Below are 20,414 nucleotides of genomic sequence, written 5' to 3'. Positions count from 1 at the left end.
CTAATTTTAATACGAAGATATTTTTTTTTTACCATTCTCCTCGAAGCGCTTGAAATCTGCAGTAGCAAATCCCACAAAAGGCGTGTTTCTAATCTGCTCTCTTTAAGAGAAGGTTCATCTCTGTGAGATGAATGCACACAACACAAAGAAGTTACTGAGAATTCTTCTGTCTAGCATTATTTTAAGAAATCCAGTTTCCAACGAAGGCCTCAGAGAGATCCTAATATCCACCGGGAGACTTTACAAATAGAGTGTTTTCAAACTGCTCTATGAAAAGAAAGGTTAAACTCTGTGACTTGAAAGCACACATCACAAACTAGTTTCTGCGAATGATTCTGTGTAGTTTTAATATGAAGATATTTCCATATCTAAGATTGGCCTCAAATGGCTTGAAATCTCTACTTGCAAATTCCAGAAAAAGAGTGTTTCAAAACTGCTCTGAATAAAGATAGGTTCAACTCCGTGAGTTGAATACACAAAACACAAAGGAATTACTGAGAATTCTTCTGTGTAGCAGTATATGAAGAAATCCCATTTCCAACGAAGGCCTCTAAGAAGTCGAAATATCCACTTGCAGACTTTACAGACAGAGTCTTTCCAAACTACTCTACGAAAAGAAAAGTTAATCTCTGTGAGTTGAACGCACACCTCAGAAATTAGTTTCTGAGAATGATTCTGTCTAGTTTTCATACTAAGATATTTCCTTTTCTACCATTGGCCTCAAATCGCTTGAGGTCTCCACTTGCAAAAGCCATGAAAAGAGAGTTTCAAATGTGCTCTGTCTAAAGAAGGGTTCATCACGGTGAGTTGAACAAAAACAACAGAAAGAAGTTTGTGAGAACTCTTCTGTCTTGCATTATATGCAGAAATACCGTTTCCAACGAAGGGCTCATAGAGGTCCAAATATCCACCTGCAGAATTTACAAACAGAGTGTTTCCTAACTGGTCTATGAAAGGAAAGTTAAACTCTGTGAGTTGAAAGCACACATCACAAAGTAGTTTCTGAGAATCATTCTGTGTAGTTTTTATATGAAGATGTTTACATTTCTACCATTGGCAAAAATCGCTTGAAATCTCCACTTGCAAAAACCACGAAAAGACAGTATCAAATCTGCTCTGTCTAAAGAAAGGTTAAACTCTGTGAGTTGAATACACACAACACAAAGAAGTTAGTGAGAATTCTTCTGTGTAGCATTACATGAAGAAAACCCGCTTCCAAAGAAGGCCTCAAAGAGGTCCAAATATCCACTTGCAGACATTTCACACAGAGTGTTTCCAAACTGCTCTATGAAAAGAAAGGTTAAACTCTGTGAGTTGAACGCACATATCACAAAGTAGTTTCTGAGAATGATTCTGTCTAGATTTTACACGAAGATATTTCCATTTCAAAGATTGACCTCAAATCGCTTGAAATCTCCACTTGTAAATTCGACAGAAGGAGTTTTCCAAAACGGCTCTGTCTAAAGGAAAGTTCAACTCTGTCAGTTGAATACACACAACACAAAGAAGTTACCGAGAATTCTTCTGTCTAGCATTATATGAAGAAATCCCGTTTCCAACAAAGGCCTCAAAGAGGTCCAAATATCCACTTGCAGACATTACAAACAGAGTGTTTCCAAACTGCTCTATGAAAAGAAAGATTAAACTCTGTGAGTTGAACGCACACATCACAAACTAGTTTCAGCAAAAGAGGTAGTGTAGTTTTAATACGAAGATATTTCCATTTCTAAGATTGGCCTGAAATCGCTTGAAATCTCCACTTGCAAATTCCACAAAAAGAGTGTTTCAAAACTGCTCTGAATAAAGGAAAGTTCAACTCTGTGAGTTGAATAAACACAACACAAAGAAGTTACTGAGAATTCTTCTGTCTAGAATAATATGAAGAAATCCCGTTTCCAACGAAGGCCTCAAAGAACTCCAAATACCACTTGGAGACATTACAAACAGAGTGTTTCCAAACTGCTCTATGAAAAGAAAGGTTAAACTCTGTGAGATAAACGCACACATCACAAAGTAGTTTCTGAGAATGATTTTGTCTTGTTTTAATATGAAGATATTTCCTCTTCTACAATTGTCCTCAAAGCGCTTGAAATCTGCACTAGCAAATTCCACAAAAAGCGTGTTTCAAATCTGCTCTCTCTAAAGGAAGGTTCAACTCTGTGAGTTGAATGAACTCAATACAAAGAATCTACTGAGAATTCTTCTGTTTAGCATTATTTGAAGGAAGCCCGTTTCCAACGAGGGCTTCAAAGAGGTCCAATTATCCATTTGCAGAATTTACAAACAGAGTGTTTCCAAATTGCTCTATGAAAAGAAAGGTTAAACTCTGTGAGTTGAACGCACACAACACAAAGTAGTTTCTGAGAATGATTCTGTCTAGTTTTTATACAAAGATATTTCCTTTTCTACCATTGGCCTCAAATCGCTTTAAATCTCCACTTGCAAATACCACGAAAAGAGAGTTTCAAATCTGCTCTGTCTAAAGAAAGGTTGAATTCTGAGAGTTGAATACTCACAACACAAAGAAGTTACTGAGAATTCTTCTGTCTATCATTATATGCAGAAATACCGTTTCCAAAGAAGAGCCTTTAGAGGTCCAAATATCCACTTGCAGAGTTTACAAACAGAGTGTTTCCAAACTGCTCTTTTAAAAGAAAGGTTAAACTCTGTGAATTGAATGCACAAATCACAAAGTAGTTTCTGCGAATGATTTTGTCTATTTTTAATACGAAGATATTTCCTTTTCTACCATTGTACTCGAAGCGCTTGAAATCTGCAGTAGCAAATTCCACAAAAAGCGTGTTTCAAATCCGCTCTCTCTAAATCAAGTTTCAACTCTGTGACTTGAATACACACAACACAAAGAAGTTACTGAGAATTCTTCTGTCTAGCATTATATGGAGAAATCCCGTTTCCAACAAAGGGACCTAAGACGTCCAAATATCCACTTGCAGACTTTACAAAGTGAGTGTTTCCATACTGCTCAATTAAAAGAAAGTTTGAACTCTGTGAGTTGAACGCAAACATCACAAAGTAGTTTCTGAGAATGATTTTGTCTAGTTTTAATACGAAGATATTTCCTTTTCTACCATTGTCCTCGAAGCACTTGAAATCTGCAGTAGCAAATCCCACAAAAAGCGTGTTTCAAATACGCTGTCTGTAAAGCAAGGTTAAACTCTGTGAGTTGAATACACACAACACAAAGAAGTTATTGAGAATTCTTCTGTCTAGCATTATTTGAAGAAATCCCGATTCCAATGAAGGCCTCAAAGAGATCCAAATATCCACTTGCAGACTTTACAAATAGAGTGTTTCCAAACTGCTCTGTGAAAACAAAGGTTAAACTCTGTGAGTTGAACCCACACATCACAAACTAGTTTCTGCGAATGATTCTGTGTAGTTATAATTCGAAGATATTTCTATTTCTAAGATTGGCCTCAAATTGCTTTAAATCTCCACTTGCAAATTCCACAAGAAGAGTGTTTCAAAACTGCTCTGAATAAAGGAAGGTTCAACTGGGTGAGTTGAATACACACAACACAAAGAAGTTACTGAGAATTCTTCTGTCTAGCAGTATATGAAGAAATCCCGTTTCCAACGAAGGCCTCTAAGACGTCCAAATATCCACTTGCAGACTTTACAGACAGAGTCTTTCCAAACTGCTCTATGAAAAGAAAGGTTAAACACTGTGAGTTGAATGCACACATCGCAAAGTAGTTTCTGAGAATGATTCTGTCTAGTTTTTATACAAAGATATTTCCTTTTCTACCATTTTCCTCAAAGCGCTTGAAATCTCCACTTGCAAATACCACAAAAAGAGTGTTTCAAATATGCTCTCTCTAAAGAAAGGTTCAACTCTGTGAGTTGAATACACACAACACAAAGAAGTTACTGAGAATTCTTCTATCTAGCATTAAATGAGGAAATTCCGTTTCCAACGAAGGCCACAAAGAGGTCCAATTATCCACTTGCAGACTTTACAAACAGAGTGTTTCCAAACTGGTCTATGAAAAGAAAGGTTAAACTCTGTGAGTGGAACCCGCACATCACGAAGTAGTTTCTGCGGATAATTCTGTCTAGTTTTTATACGAATATATTTCCTTTTCTACCATTGGTCACAAATTGCTTGAAATCTCCACTTGCAAACTACACAAAAAGAGCGTTTCAAATCTGCTGTGACTAAAGGAAGGTTCCATTCTGTGACTTGAGTACGCACAACACAAAGAAGTTACTGAGAATTCTTCTGTCTAGCATTATATGAAAAAACTCCGTTTCCAACGGAGGCCTCAAAGAGGTCCAAATATCCACTTGCAGACTTTACAAACAGAGTGTTTCCAAACAGCTCTATGAAAAGAAAGGGTAAATTCTGTGAGTTGAACGCACACATCACAAATTAGTTTCTGAGAATGATTCTGTCTAGTTTTTATACGAAGATATTTCCATTTCTAAGATTGGCCTCAAATCGCTTGAAATCTCCACTTGGAAATTCCACAAACAGAGTGTTTCAACAATGCTCTGTCTAAAGGAGGGTTTAACTCTGTGAGTTGAATACACAAAAGACAAAGAAGTTACTGAGAATTCTTGTATGTAGCACTATATGAAGGAATCCCGTTTCCAACAAAGGCCTCAAAGAGGTCCAAATATCCACTTGGAGACGTTACAAATAGAGTTTTTCCAAACTGCTCTATGAAAAGAACGGTTAATTTCTATGAGATGAACGCAGACATCACAAAGTAGTTTCTGGGAATGATTCTGTCTAGATTCTATACGAAGAAATTTCGTTTTTTAACATTGTCCTCAATTTGCTTGAAATCTCCATCTGAAAATTCCACAAAAAGAGAGTTTCATATCTGCTGTGACTAAAGGAAGGTTCAATTCTGTGTGTTGAATACACACAACAGAAAGAATTTACTGAGAATTCTTCTGTCTAGCATTAAATGAAGAAATCCCGTTTCCAACGAAGGCCTCAAAGAGGTCCAAATATCCACTTGCAGACTTTACAAACAGAATGTTTCCAAACTGCTCTATGAAAAGAAAGGCTAAACTCTGTGATTTGAATGCACACATCACAAAGTAGTTTCTGAGAATGATTCTGTCTAGTTTTTATACGAAGATATGTCCTTTTCTACCATTGGCCTCTAATCGCTGGAAATCTCCACTTGCAAAAGCCACGAAAAGAGAGTTTCCAATCTGCTCTGTCTAAATAAAGTTCAACTCTGTGAGTTGAATACACACAACACAAAGAAGTTACTGAGAATTCTTCTGTCTAGTATTATATGAAGAAGTCCCGTTTCCAACGAAGGGCTCAAAGAGGTCTAAATATCCACTTGCAGATTTTACAAACAGAGTGTTTCCAAACTGCTCAATTAAAAGACAGGTTAAACTCTGTGAGTTGAACGTACACATCACAAAGTAGTTTCTGAGAATGATTCTGTCTAGTTTTTATAGGAAGATATTTCCTTTTCTACCGTTGGCCTCAAAGAGCTTGAAAACTCCAGCTGCAAGTTCCACAAAAAGAGAGTTTCGAATCTGCTGTGTCTAAAGGAAGGTTCAACTCTGTGAGTTGAATACACATAACACAAAGAACTTACTGAGCATTCTTCTGTCTAGCATTATATGAAGAAATCCCGTTTCCAACGAAGGCCTCTAAGAGGTCCAAATATCCACTTGCAGACTTTACAAATAGAGTGTTTCCAAACTGCTCTATGATAAGAAAGTTTAACTCAGTGAGTTGAACGCACACATCACAAAGCAGTTTCTGAGAATGATTCTGTCTAGTTTTTATACGAAGATATTTCCATTTCTAATATGGGCCCCAAATCGCTTGAAATCTCCACTTGCAAAAGCCACAAAAAAATTTTTCAAAATTGCTCTGTGTAAAGGAAGGTTAAACTCTGTGAGTTCAATACAAACAACACAAAGAAGTTACCGAGAATTCTTCTGTCTATAATTATATGAAGAAATCCCGTTTCCAACGAAGGCCTCAAAGAGGTCCAAATATCCACTTGCAGAGCTTACAAATAGAGTGTTTCCAAACTTCTCTATGAAAAGAAATGTTGAACTCTGTGAGTTGAACGTACACATCGCAAAATAGATTCTGGGAGTGATTCTGTCTAGTTTTTATACGAAGATATTTCCTTTTCTACCATTGGCCTCAAATCCCTTGAATTCTCCACTTGCAAAATCAAAGAAAACAGACTTTCAAAAGTGCTCTGTCTAAAGAAAGGTTCAACTCTGTGAGTTGAATACACACAACCCAAAGAAGTTACTGAGAATTCATCTGTCTAGCATTATAAGAAGAAATCCCGTTCCCAACGAAAGCCTCAAAGGCTTCCAAATATCCACTTGCAGACTTTACAAACAGATTGTTTCCAATCTGCTCTATGAAAAGAAAGGTTAAACTCTGAGCGTTGAACGCGCACATCGCAAAGGAGTTTCTGGGAATGATTCTGTCTAGTTTTTATACGAAAATATTTCCTTTTCTACCATTTTCCTCAAAGCGCTTCAAATCTCCACCTGCAAATTCCACAAAAAGAGAGTTTCGAATCTGCTGTGTCTAAAGTAAGGTTCAACTCTGTGAGTTGAGTACACACAACACATAGAAGTTACTGACAATTTTTCTGTCTAGCATTATATGAAGAAATCCCGTTTCCAACGAAGACCTCAAATAGGTCCAAATATCCACTTGCAGACTTTACAAAGAGAGAGTTTCCCAACTGCTCTATGAAAAGAAAGGTTAAACTCTTTGAGTTGAACGCACACATCACAAAATAGTTTCTGTGAATGATTCTGTCTAGTTTTTATATGAAAATATTTCGATTTCTAAGATTGGCCTCAAATCGCTTGAAATCTCCTCTTGCAAATTTAACAAAAAGAGAGTTTCAAAACTGCTCTGTATGAAGGATGGTTCAACTCTGTGAGTTAAATACACACAACACAAAGAAGTTACTGAGAATTCTTCTGTCTAGCATTATATGAAGAAATCCCTTTTCCAACGAAGGCCTCAAAGAGGTCCAAATATCCACTTGCAGAATTTACGAACAGAGTGTTTCCAAACTGTTCTATGAAAAGAACGGTTAAACTCTGGAGTTCAATGCGCACATTGCAAAGTAGTTTCTGAGAATGATTCTGTCTAGTTTTTATACGAAGATATTTCCTTTTCCACCATTGGCCTCAAATCGCTTGAAATCTCCACTTTCAAAAGCCACGAAAAGAGAGTTTCAAATCTGCTCTGTCTTAAGAAAGTTTCAACTCTGTGAGTTGAATACACACAACACAAAGAAGTTACTGAGAAATCTTCTGTCTAGCATTATATGAAGCAATCCCGTTTCTAACGGAGGCCTGAAAGTGGTCCAAGTATCCACTTGCAGACTTTACAAACAAAGTGTTTCCAAACTGTTCTATGAAAAGAACGTTCAAACTCTGTGAGTTGAACGCACACATCGCAAAGTAGTTTCTGAGAATGATTCTGTCTAGTTTTTATATGAAGATATGTCCTTTTCTACCATTGGCCTCAAATCGCTTGAAATCTCAACCTGATAATTCCACAAAAAGAGAGTTTCAAATCTGCTGTGTCTAAAGGAAGGTTCAACTCTGTGAGTTGAATACCCAGAACACAAAGAAGTTACTGAGAATTCTTCTGTCTAGCATTATATGAAGAAATCTCGTTTCCTGCGAAAGCCTCAAAGATGTCCAAATATTCACTTCCTGACTTTACAAACAGGGTGTTTCCGAACTGGTCTATGAAAAGAAATGTTGAACTCTGTGAGTTGAATGCCCACATCACAAAGTAGTTTCTGAGAACGATTTTGTCTTGTTTGTATACGAAGATATTTCCATTTCTACCATTGGTCTCAAATCGCTTGAAATCTCCACCTGCAAAATCCACAGAAAGAGAGTTTCAAATCTGGTCTGTCTAAAGAAAGGTTCAACTCTGTGAGTTGAATACACACAACACAAAGAAGTTACTGAGAATTCTTCTGTCTAGCATTATATGAAGATATCTCGTTTCCAACGAGGGCCTCAAAGAGGTCCAAATATCCACTTGCAGACTTTACAAACAGACTGTTTCCAAACTGCTCTAAGAAAAGAAAGGTTAAACTCTGTGAGTTGAATGCACACATCACAAAGCAGTTTCTGAGAATGATTCTGTCTAGTTTTTATACGAAGATATGTCCTTTTCTACCATTGGCCTCAAATCGCTTGAAATCTCCACCTGAAAATTCCACAAGAAGAGAGTTTCAAATCTGCTGTGTCTAAAGGAATGTTCAACTCTGTGAGTTGAATACTCACAACACAAAGAAGTTACTGAGAATTCTTCTGTCTAGCATTATATGAAGAAAACCCGTTTCCAACGAAGGCCTCAAAGAGGTCCAAATATCCACTTGCAGACTTTACAAACAGAGTGTTTCCAAACTTATCTATGAAAAGAAAAGTTAAACTCTGTGAGTTGAATGCACACATCACAAAGTAGTTTCTGAGAATCATTCTGTCTAATTTTTATACGAAGGTATTTCCTTTTCTACCATTAGCATCAAATCGCTTCAAATCTGCACTTGCAAATTCCACAAAAAGAGTATTTCAAATCAGCTCTCTCTAAAGGAAGTTTCAACTCTGTGAGTTGAATACACACAACACAAAGAAGTTACTGAGAATTCTTCTATCTATCATTATATGAAGAAATCCCGTTTCCAACGAAGGCCTCAAAGAGGTCCAAATATCCACTTGCAGACTTTACAATCAGAGTGTTTCCAAACTGCTCTATGAAAAGAAAGGTTAAACTCTGTGAGTTGAACGCACACATCACAAAGTAGTTTTTGAGAATGATTCTGTCTAGGTTTTATACAAAGATATTTCCGTTTCTAAGATTGGCCTCAAATCGCTTGAAATCCCCACTTGCAATTTCCACAAAAAAAGTGTTTCAAAACTGGTCTATCAAAAGAAAAGTTAAACTCTGTGAGTTGAATACACACATCACAAAGAACTTTCATAACATTCTTCTGTCTAGCTTTATATGAAGAAATCCCGTTTCCAACGAAGGCCTCAAAAAGTTCCAGATATCCACTTACAGCTTCTACAAAAGGAGTGTTTCAAAACAGCTGTATCAAAAGGAATGTTGAACTGTGTGAGTTGAATGAAAACATCCCAAAGTAATTTTTGAGAATGAATCTATCTGGTTTTTTTATGAAGATAATTGCTTTTCTACCATAGGACTCAGATCGCTTTATATATCCACTTGCAAATTCCACAAAAGGAGGGTTTCAAAACTTCTCTATCGAAAGGAAAGTCTAACTTTTTGAGTTGAGTGCAGACATCACAAGGAAGTTTCTGAGAATACTTCTCTCTGCTTTTTATGTGAAGATACTCGCGTTTCCAAAGAAGGCCTCAAAGCCCTCCAAACATCCTCTTGCAGACTTTACAAACAGGGTTTCAAAACTGCTCTGTCAAAGGAAAGTTTAAACCCTCTGAGTAGAACGAACACATCACCAAGTAGTTTCTGAGAATGATTCTGTGTATTTTTTATATGAAGATATTTCCTTTTCTATCATAGCCCACAAAGCGTTCTTAATATCCACTTGCAAACCCCACAAAAAGAGTGTTTCGAAACTGTTCTATCAAAAGGAAGGTTCACCTCTGTGAGTTGAGTACAGACATCACAAAGAAGATTCTGGGGAAACCTCTGTCTCCTTTTTATGTGAAGATATTCCCGTTTCCAACAAAATCTCAAAGCACTCCAAATATCCAGATGCAGACTTTACAAGCAGAGTGATTCAAAACTGCTCTTTCAAAAGAAAAGTTAAACTTTCTGAGTTGAATGCACACATCACAAATAGTTTCTGAAAAATCTTCTGTCTAGTTTTTATGTGAAGATCTTTCCTTTTCTACCATCGGCCTCAAAGCGCTTTAATCTCCACTTGCAAATTCAACAAAACGAGTGTTTCAAAACTGCCCTATAAAAAGAGAGGCTAAACTCAGTGAGTTGAATGCAGACATCACAAAATAGTTTCTGAGAATGATTCTGTCTAGTTTTTATATGAAGATATTTCCATTTCTACGATAGGCCTAAATGCGCCCTTAATATCCAATTGGAAATTCTAGAAATAGGGTGTTTCAAATCTGCTCTATCAAAAAGGAAGGCTCATCACTGTGATTTGAATGCACACATCACAAAGAAGTTTCTGAGAATTGTTCTGTCTAGTTTTATTTGAAGAATTCCTGTTTCCAACGAATGCCTCAAAGAAGTCCAAATATCCACTTGCAGATTCTGCAAAAAGAGTGTGTCAAAACTGCTCTATCAAGAGGAATGTTCAAATCTGTGAGTTGAATGCAAACATCACAAAGTAGTTTCTGATAATGCTTCGGTCTAGTTTTTTGTGAAGATATTTCCTTTTCTACCGTAGGCCTCAAAGCACTCTAAATACACGCTTGCAAATTCTACAAATAGAATGTTTCAAAACTGCTCTATCAAAAGAAACGTTAAAATCAGTGAGTTGAAAGCACACATCACAAAGTAGTTTCTGAGAATGAGTCTGTCTAGATTTTATAGGAAAATATTTCCTGTTCTACCATAGGCGTCAAAGCGTCCTAAATATCCACTTGGAAATTCTACAGAAAGAATGTTTCAAAACTGTTCTATTGAAAGGAACTTTCAACTCTGTGAGTTGAATGCACACATCAAAAGAAGTTTCTGAGAATTCTGTCTAGTTTATTTATCAAGAAATTTCCTGTTCCAACGAAGGCCTCAAAGAGGTCCAAATATCCACCTGTAAATACTACAAAAAGAGTGTTAAAAATCTGCTCTATCAAAAGGAATGTTCAACTCTGTGAGTTGATTGCAAACATCACAATGTGGTTTCTGCGAATGATTCTGTGTAGTTTTTCTACCAGGATATTTCCTTCTCTACCGTAGGCCCCAAAGTGGCCCAACTACGTCACAAAGTAGTTTCTGAGAATGATTCTGTCTAGTTTTATAAGAAGATATTTCCTTTTCTACCATAAGATTCAAAGCGCTCTAAATATCCACTAGGAAACCGTAAAAAAAGAGTGTTTCAAATCTGCTCTAGCAAAAGGAAAGTTCATCTCTGTGAGTTGAATGCACACATCACAAAGATGTTTCTGAGAATTCTTCTGTCTAGTTTTATATAAAGAAATCCCGTTTCCAACGAAGGCCTCAAAGACGTCCAAATATCCACTTGCAGATTCTACAAAAAGAGGGTTTCAAATCTGCACTATCAAGGGGAATGTTCAACTCTGTGAGTTGAATGCAAATATCACAAATTGGTTTCTGAGAATGCTTCTGTCTAGTTTTTATGTGAAGATATTTCCTTTATCACCATAGGTCTCCAAGTGCTCCAAATGTCCACATGTAGATTCTACAAAAAGAGTGTTTCAAAACCTCTCTATCAAAAGAAAGGTTCAACTCTGTGGGTTGAATGCACGCATCACAAAGTGGTTTCTGGGAATGATTCTGTCTAGTTTTTATATGAAGATATTTCCTCTTCTACCATAGGATTCAAAGCGCTCTAAATATCCACTTGGAAATTCTACAAAAAGAGTGTTTCAAATCTGCTATATCAAAAAGAATGTTCATATCTGTGAGTTGAATGCACATATCACAAAGAAGTTTCTGAGAATTCTTCCATCTAGTTTTATATGAGGAGATCCCGTTTCCAACGAAGGCCTCAAAGAGTTCCATATATACAATTGCAGATTCTACAAAAGAGTGTTTCAAAACCGCTCTATCAAGAGGAATGTTGAACTCTGTGAGTTGAATGCAAACATCACAAAGTAGTTTCTGAGAATGCTTCTATCTAGTTTTTATGTGAAGATATTTACTACTCTAACATAGGCCACAAAGCGCTCCAAATACACACTTGCAAATTCTACAAAAAGGGTGTTTCAAAACTGCTCTATCAAAAGAAAAGTTAAACTCAGTGAGTTGAACACGCACGTCACCATGTGGTTTGTGAGAATAATTCTGTCTACTTTTTATATGAAGATATTTCCTTTTCTACCATAGGCCTCAAGGCGCCCTAAATATCCACTTGGACATTCTACAATAAAAATGTTTCAAAACTGCTTTATTGAAAGGAACGTTCAACTCTGTGAGTTGAATGCACACATCACAAGGAATTTCTGAGAATTCTGACTAGATTTTCATGAAGAAATGCCCGGTTCCAATGAAGGCCTCAAAGTGGTCCATATATGCTCTTCCAGATCTACAAAAAGAGTGTTACAAAACTGCTCTATCAAAAGGAATGTTCATGTCTGTGAGCTGAATGCAAACATCACAATGTGGTATCTGAGAAAGCTTCTGTGTAGTTTTCCTACGAAGATATTTTCTTTTCTACCATTGGCCCCAAAGCGCTCTAAATATCCACTTGCAAGTACTACAAAAAGGGTGTTTCAAAACTGCTCTATCAAAAGGAAGGTTCAACTCTGTGAGTTGAGTGCAGACATCACAAGGAAATTTCTGAGAATACTTCTGTCTGCTTTTTATGTGAAGATTCTCCCGTTTCCAGGAAGGCCTCAAAGCCCTCCAAATATCCCCTTGCAGACTTTACATCAGAGGGTTTCAAAACTGCTCTATCAAAAGAAAGGTTAAACTCTGTGACTTGAACGCACACATCACAAAATAGTCTCTGAGAATGATTCTGTCTAGTTTTTATATGAAGATATTTCCTTTTGTAAAATAGGCCTCAAAGCGCTCTAAATATCGAGTTGCAAACACTACAAAAAGAGTGTTTCAAACCTGCTCTATCAAAGGGAACGCTCACCTCTGTGAGTTGAGTACAGACATCACAAATAAGTTTCTGAGAATACTTCTGTCTACTTTTCATGTGAAGATATTCCCGTTTCCAAAGAAAACCTCAAAGCGCTCAAAATATCCAGATGCAGACTTTACAAACAGAATGTTTCAAAACTGCTCTATCAAAGAAAGGTTAAACTCTGTGAGTCAAAGGCACACATCACAAGGTAGTTTCTGGGAATGATTCTGTCTAGTTTTTATATGAAGATATTTCCTTTTCTACCATAGAATTCAAAGCGCTCTAAATATCCACTTGGAAATTCTACAAAAAGAGTGTTTCAAATCTGCTCTATCAAAAGGAAGATTCAACACTGTGAGTTGAATGCACACGTCACAAAGAATTTTCTGAGAATTCTTCTGTCTACTTTTATATAAAGAAACCCTGTTTCCAGCGAAGGCCTCAAAGAGGACCAAATACCCACCAGCAGATTCTACAAACCGAGTGTTTCAAAACTGCTCTATCAAGAGGAATGTTGAACTCTGGGAGTTGAATGCAAACATCACAAAGTAGTTTCTGAGAATGCTTCTGTCTAGTTTTTATGTGAAGATGTTTTCTTTTCTACCATGGGCCTCAAAGTGCTCTAAATTCACACTTGCAAATTCTACAAATAGAGTGTTTCAAAACTGCTCTTTCAAAAGAAAGGTTATACTCAGTGAGTTGAAAGTGCACATCACAAAGTGGTTTCTGAGAATATTTCTGTCTTGTTTTTAATGAAGATATTTCCTTTTCTATCATAGGCCTCAAAGCGCCCTTAGTACCCACTTGAAAATTCTACAAAAAGAGTGTTTCAAAACTGCTCTTTCAAAAGAAAGGTTATACTCAGTGAGTTGAAAGTGCACATCACAAAGTGGTTTCTGAGAATATTTCTGTCTTGTTTTTAATGAAGATATTTCCTTTTCTATCATAGGCCTCAAAGCGCCCTTAGTACCCACTTGAAAATTCTACAAAAAGAGTGTTTCAAAACTGCTCTATCGAAAGGAACGTTCAACTCTGTGAATTGAATGCACACATCACAAAGAAGTTTCTGAGAATTCTTCTGTCTAGTTTTTATATGAAGAAATTCCCGGTTCCAATGAAGGCCTCAAAGAGGCCCCAATATCCACTTGCAGATTTTTCAAAAAGAATGTTACAAAACTGCTCTATCAAAAGGAATGTTCAAGTCTGTGGGTTGAGTGCAGACATCACAAGGATGTTTCTGAGAATACTTCTGTCTAATTTTTATGTGAAGATACTCCAGTTTCCAAAGAAGGCCTCAAAGCACTCCAAATATTCAATTGCAGACTTTACAAACAGAGTGTTTCAAAACTGCTCTATCCAAAGAAAGTTTAAAGTCTGTGAGTTTAACGCACACATCACAAACTAGTTTCTGGGAATGATTCTGTCTAGTTTTTATATGAAGATATTTCCTTTTCTACCACAGGATTCAAAGCGCTCTAAATATCCACTTGGAAATTCTACAAAAAGAGTGTTTGAAATCTGCTCTATCAAAAGGAAGTTTCAATTCTGTCAGTTGAATGCACACATCCAAAAGAAGTTTCTGAGAAATTGTCAGTCTAGTTTTATATGAAGAAATCCCGTTTCCAACGAAGGCCTCAAAGAGGTCGAAGTATCCACTTACAGATACTACAAAAAGAGTGTTTAAAAACTGCTCTGTCAAGAGGAATGTTCAATTCTGTGAGTTAAAATGTAAACATCAGAAAGTAGCTTCTGACAATGCTTCTGTCTAGTTTTTCTGTGAAGATATTTCCTTTTCTACCATAGGCCTAAAAGCGCTCTAAATTCACACTTGCAAATTCTACAAAAACAGTGTTTCAAAACAGCTCTTTCAAAAGAAAGGTTAAAGTCAGTGAGTTGAACGTGCACATCACAAATTAGTTTCTGAGAATGATTCTGTCTAGTTTTTATATGAAGATATTTTATTTTCTAACATAGGCCTCTAAGCGTCCTAAATATCCACTTGGAAATTCTACAAAAAGAGTGTTTCAAAACTGCTCTATTGAAAGGAAAGTTCAACTCTGTGAGTTGAATGCACACATCACAAAAAAGTTTCTGAGAATTATTCTGTCTTGTTTTTTTATGAAGAAATTCTTGGTTCCAACGAAGTCCTCAAAGAGGTCCAAATATCCACTTGCAGATTCTACAAAAAGAGTGTTTCAAAACTGCTCTATCAAAAGGATGTTCAACTCTGTGAGTTGAATGCAAACATCACAAAGTAGTTTCTGAGAATGCTTCCATGTATTTTTTCTATGAAGATATTTCCTTTTCTACCATAGGCCCCAAAGTGCTCTAAATATCCACTTTCAAATTCTACAAAAAGAGTGCTTCAAAACTGCTCTATTAAAAGGAAGGTTCAACTCTGTGAGTTGAGTGCAGACGTCACAAGGAAGTTTCTGAGAATACTTCTGTCTACTTTTTATGTGAAGGTACTCCCGTTTCCAAAGAAGTCCTCAAAGTGCTCCAAATATCCACTTGCAGAATTTACAATCAGAGTTTTCCAAAACTGCTCTATCAAGAGGAATGTTCAACTGTGTGAGTTAAAAGCAAACATCACAAAGTAGTTTCTGAGAATGCTTCTATCTAGTTTTTATTTGAAGATATTTCCTTTTCTATCACAGGCCTCAAAGCGCTCTAAATACTCACTTGCAAATTCTACAAAAAGAGTGTTACAAACTGCTCTATCAAAAGAAAGTTTAAACTCAGTGATTTGAATGCACACGTCACAAAGTAGTTTCTGAGAATGCTTCTGTGTAGTTTTTCTACGAACATATTTCCTTTTCTACCACAGGCCCCAAAGCGCTCTAAATATCCACTTGAAAATTATACAAAAAGAGTGTTTCAAAACTGCTCTATCAAAAGGAAGTTTCATCTCTGTGAGTTGAGTACAGACATCACAAATAAGATTCTGAGAATACTTCTGTCTACTTTTTATGTGAAGATATTCCAGTTTCCAAAGAAAACCTCAAAGCGATCCAAATATCCAGATGCAGACTTTACAAACAGAGTGTTTCAAAACTGCTCTATCAAAAAAAAGGTTAGACTCTGTGAGTTGAACGCACACATCACAAAGTAGTTTCTGGGAGTGATTCTGTCTAGTTTTTATATGAAGATATTTCCCTTTCTACCATAGGATTCAAAGCACTCTAAATATCCACTTGGAAATTCTTCAAAAAGAGTGTTTCCAAATCTGCTGTATCAAAAGGAAGATTCTACTCTGTGAGTTGAACTCACACATCACAAAGAAGTTTCTGAGAATTCTTCTGTCTAGTTTTATTTGAAGAAATCCCATTTCCAACAAAGGCCTCAAAGAGTTCCAAATATCCACTTATGGATTCTACAAAAAGAGTGTTTCAAAAATGCTCTATCAAGAGCAGTGTTCAACTCTGTCAGTTCTATGCAAACATCACAAAGTAGTTTCTGGGAATGCTTCTGTCTAGTTTTTTATGTGAAGATGTTTCCTTTTCTACCATAGGCCTCAAAGTGCTCTAAATACACACTAGCAAATTCTACAAAAAGAGTGTTTCAAAACTGCCCTATCAAAAGTAAGGTTAAACTCAGTGAGTTAAACGCGCCCATCACAAAGTAGTTTCTGAGAATGATTCTGTCTAGTTTTTATATGAAGATATTTCCTTTTCCACCATAGGCCTCTAAGCGCCCTAATTATGTACTTGGAAGTTCTACAGAAAGAGTGTTTCAAAAGTGCTCTATAGAAAGGAACGTTCAACTCTGTGAATTGAATGCGCATATCACAAAGAAGTTTCTGAGATTTCTTCTGTATAGTTTTTTTTGAACAAATTCCCGGTTCCAATGAAGGCCTAAAAGAGGTCCAAATATCCACTCCCAGATTCTACAAGAAGAGTGTTACAAAACTGCTCTATCAAAAGGAATGTTCAACTCTGTGAGTTGAATGCAAACATCACAAATTTGTTTCTGAGAATGCTTCTGTGTTTTTTTTCTAGGAAGATATTTCCTTTTCTACTGTTCGCCCCAAGGCGCTCTAAATATCCACCTGAAAATTCTACAAAAAGAATGTTCAAAAACTGCTTTATCAAAAGTAAGGTTCAACTCTGTGAGTTGACTGCAGACATCACAAAGAAGTTTCTGAGAATATTTCTGTCTACTTTTTATGTGAAGATATTCCCGTTTCCAAAGAAAACCACAAAGCGCTCCAAATATAAAGATGCAGACTTACAAACAGAGTGTTTAAAAACTGCTATATACAAGGAAAGGTTAAAATCTGTGAGTTGAACGCACACTTCACAAAGAAGTCTCTGTGAATGCTTCTGTGTAGTTTTTATGTGAAGATATCCCGTTTCCAATGAAGGCCTCAAAGTGTTCCAAATATTCACATGCAAACTCTGCAAAAAGAGTGTTTCAAAACTGCTGTAGGAAAATTAGCGTTCAACTCTGTGAGTTGAAGGCAAACGTCACAAAGAAGTTTCTGAGAATACTTTTGTGTAGTTTTTATGTGAAGATATTACCTTTTTCACCATAGCCCTCAGAGCACTCTAAATGCCAACTTGCAGATTCTACAAAAAGAGTGTCTCAAAACTGCTCTATCAAAAGAAAGATTCAACTCTGTGAGTTGAATGCACTCATCACAAAGAAGTTTCTAGTAATGCTTCTGTCTAGCTTTTATGGGAAGATATTTCTTTTTTCACCATAGGCCTCAAAGTGCTCCAAATGTCCACTTGCAGATTCTACAAAAAGAGTGTTTCAAAACTGGTCTATCAAAAGAAAGGATCATCTCTGTAACTTGAATGCACACATCACAAAGAAGTTTCTGAGAATGCTTCTGTCTAGTTTTTATGTGAAGATATCCCATTTCCAACGAAGGCCTCTAAGCTTTCCAAATATACAGTGGCAAATTCAGCAAAAAGAGTGTTTCATAGCTGCTCTATGAAAAGAAAGGTTCAACTCTGTGAGTTGAATGCACTCATCACCAACAAGTTTCTGAGAATGCTTCTGTGTAGTTTTTAAAGGAAGAGATTTCGTTTTTCTCCATTGGCCTCAAAGCACTCCAAATGTCCACATGCAGATTTTACAAAAAGGGTGTTACAAAACTGCTCTATCAAAAGAAAGGTTCAACTCTGTGAGTTGAATGCATTCATCACAAAGAAGTTTCTGAAAATGCTTCTGTCTAATTTTTAAGTGAAGATATTTCCTTGTTCACCATAGGCCTCAAAGCGCCCCAAATGTCCACTTGCAGATACTACAAAAAGAGTCTTTCAAAACTGCTCTATCAAAAGAAAGGTTCAACTCTGTGAGTTGAATGCTCACATCCCAAAGAAGTTTCTGAGAATGCTTCTGTCTACTTTTTATGTGAAGATATCCCCTTTCAAACGAAGGTCTCTAAGCCGTCCAAATATAGAGTAGCAAATTCAGCAAAAACAGTGTTTCAAAACTACTCTATGAAAAGAAAAGTTCAACTCTGTGAGTTGAATGCACACATCACAAAGAAGTTTCTGAGAATGCTTCTATGTAGTTATTATGTGAAGAGATTTCATTTTTCTCCATAGGCCTCAAAGCGCTCCAAATGTCTACTTGCAGATTCTAGAAAAAGAGTGTTACAAAACTGCTATATCAAAAGAAAGGTTCAACTCTGTAAGTTGAATGCATACATCACAAAGAAGTTTCTTTCAATGCTTCTGTCTAGTTTTTTTGTGATGGTATTCCTTTTCCAACAAAGGCCTCAGAGTGGTACAAATATCGACTTGCAATTTCCACAAAAAGAGTGTTTCAAAACTGCCCCATGAAAAGGAATGTTCAACTATGTGAGTTGAAAGCAAACAGCACAAGCAAGTTTCTGAGAATACTTCTGTGCAGTTTTTATATGAAGATATTTCCTTTTTCACCATAGGCCTCCAAGCGTTCCAAATGTCCACTTGCAGATTCTACAAAAAGAGTGTTTCAAAACTTCTCTATCAAGAGAAAGATTCAACTCTGTGAGTTGAATGCTCACAACACAAAGAAGTTTCTGAGAATGCTTCTATCAAGGTTTTATGTGAAGATATCTTGTTTCCAACGAAGACCTCTAAGCGGTCCAAATATACACCAGCAAATTCAGCAAAAAGTGTTTCAAAACCACTCTATGAAAAGAAAGGTTCAACTCTGTGAGATGAATGCACACATCACAAAGAAGTTTCTGAGAATGCTTCTGTGTAGTTTTTAGGTGAAGCTATTTCGTTTTTCTCCATTGGCCTCAAAGCACTCCAAATGTCCACTTGCAGATTCTACAAAAAGAGTGTTACAAAACTGCTCTATCAAAAGAAACGTACAACTCTGTGAGTTGAATGCACACATCACAAATAAGTTTCTCTGAATGCTTCTGTCTAGTTTTTATGTGAAGATATCCCATTTCCAATGCAGGCCTTAAAGTGTTCCAAATATCCATATGCAAACACTACAAAAATAGTGTTTCAAAACTGTTGTGTGAAAATTAGTGTTCTACTCTGTGACTTGAAAGCAAAAGTCACAAAGTAGTTTTTGAGAATGCTTCTGTGTATTTTTTAAGTGAAGATATTTCCTTTTTCACTATAGACCTCAAAGCTCTCCAAATGTTCACTTGCAGATTCTACAAAAAGAGTGTTTCAAAACTGCTCTATCAAAGGAAAGGTTCAACTCTGTGAGTTGAATTCACACATCACAAAGAAGTTTCTGAAAATACTTCTGTGTAGTTTTTATGTGAAGATATTACCTTTATCACTATAGGCCTCAAGGCACTCTAAATGTCCACTTGCAGATTCTACAAAAAGAGAGTTTCAAAACTGCTCTATCAAAAGAAAGATTCAACTCTGTGAGTTGAATGCACTCATCACAAAGAAGTTTCTGGAAATGCTTCTGTGTAGTTTTTAAGTGAAGGTATTTCCTTTTTCACCAAAGGCCTCCAAGTGCTCCAAATGTCCACTTGCAGATTCTACAAAAAGAGTGCTTCAAAACTGCTCTATCAAAGGAAAGGTTCAACTCTGTGAGTTGAATGCAAGCATCACAAATAAGTTTCTGAGAATACTTCTGTGTAGTTTTTATGTGAAGATATTCCCTTTTTCACTATAGGCCTCAAGGCACTCTAAATGTCCACTTGCAGATTCTACAAAAAGAGAGTTTCAAAACTCCTCTATCAAAAGAAAGATTCAACTCTCTGAGTTGAATGCACTCATTACAAAGAAGTTTCTGGAAATGCTTCTGTGTAGTTTTTATGTGAAGATATTTCCTTTTTCACCACAGGCCTCCAAGCACTCCAAATGTCCCCTTGCAGATTCTACAAAAAGAGTGCTTCAAAACTGCTCTATCAAAAGAAAGTTTCAACTCTAAGTTGAATGCGAACATCACAAAAAAGTTTCTGAGAATGCTTCTGTGTAGTTTTTATGTAAAGAGATTTCTTTTTTCTCCATTGGCCTCAAAGCACTCCAAATGTCCACTTGCAGATTCTACAAAAAGAGTGTTACAAAACTGCTCTATTAAAAGAAAGGTTCAACTCTGTGAGTTAAATGCATACATCACAAAGTCGTTTCTGTCAATGATTCTGTCTAGTTTTTATGTGACGGTATTCCTTTTCCAAAGAAGGCCTCAAACTGGTACAGATACTGACTTGCAAATTCCACAAAAAGA

The sequence above is a fragment of the Homo sapiens genome, chromosome 10, assembly GCF_000001405.40.
Source record: "Homo sapiens chromosome 10, GRCh38.p14 Primary Assembly".
Classification (NCBI taxonomy): Eukaryota; Metazoa; Chordata; class Mammalia; order Primates; family Hominidae; genus Homo; species Homo sapiens.
This window is presented reverse-complemented; position numbering follows the sequence as displayed.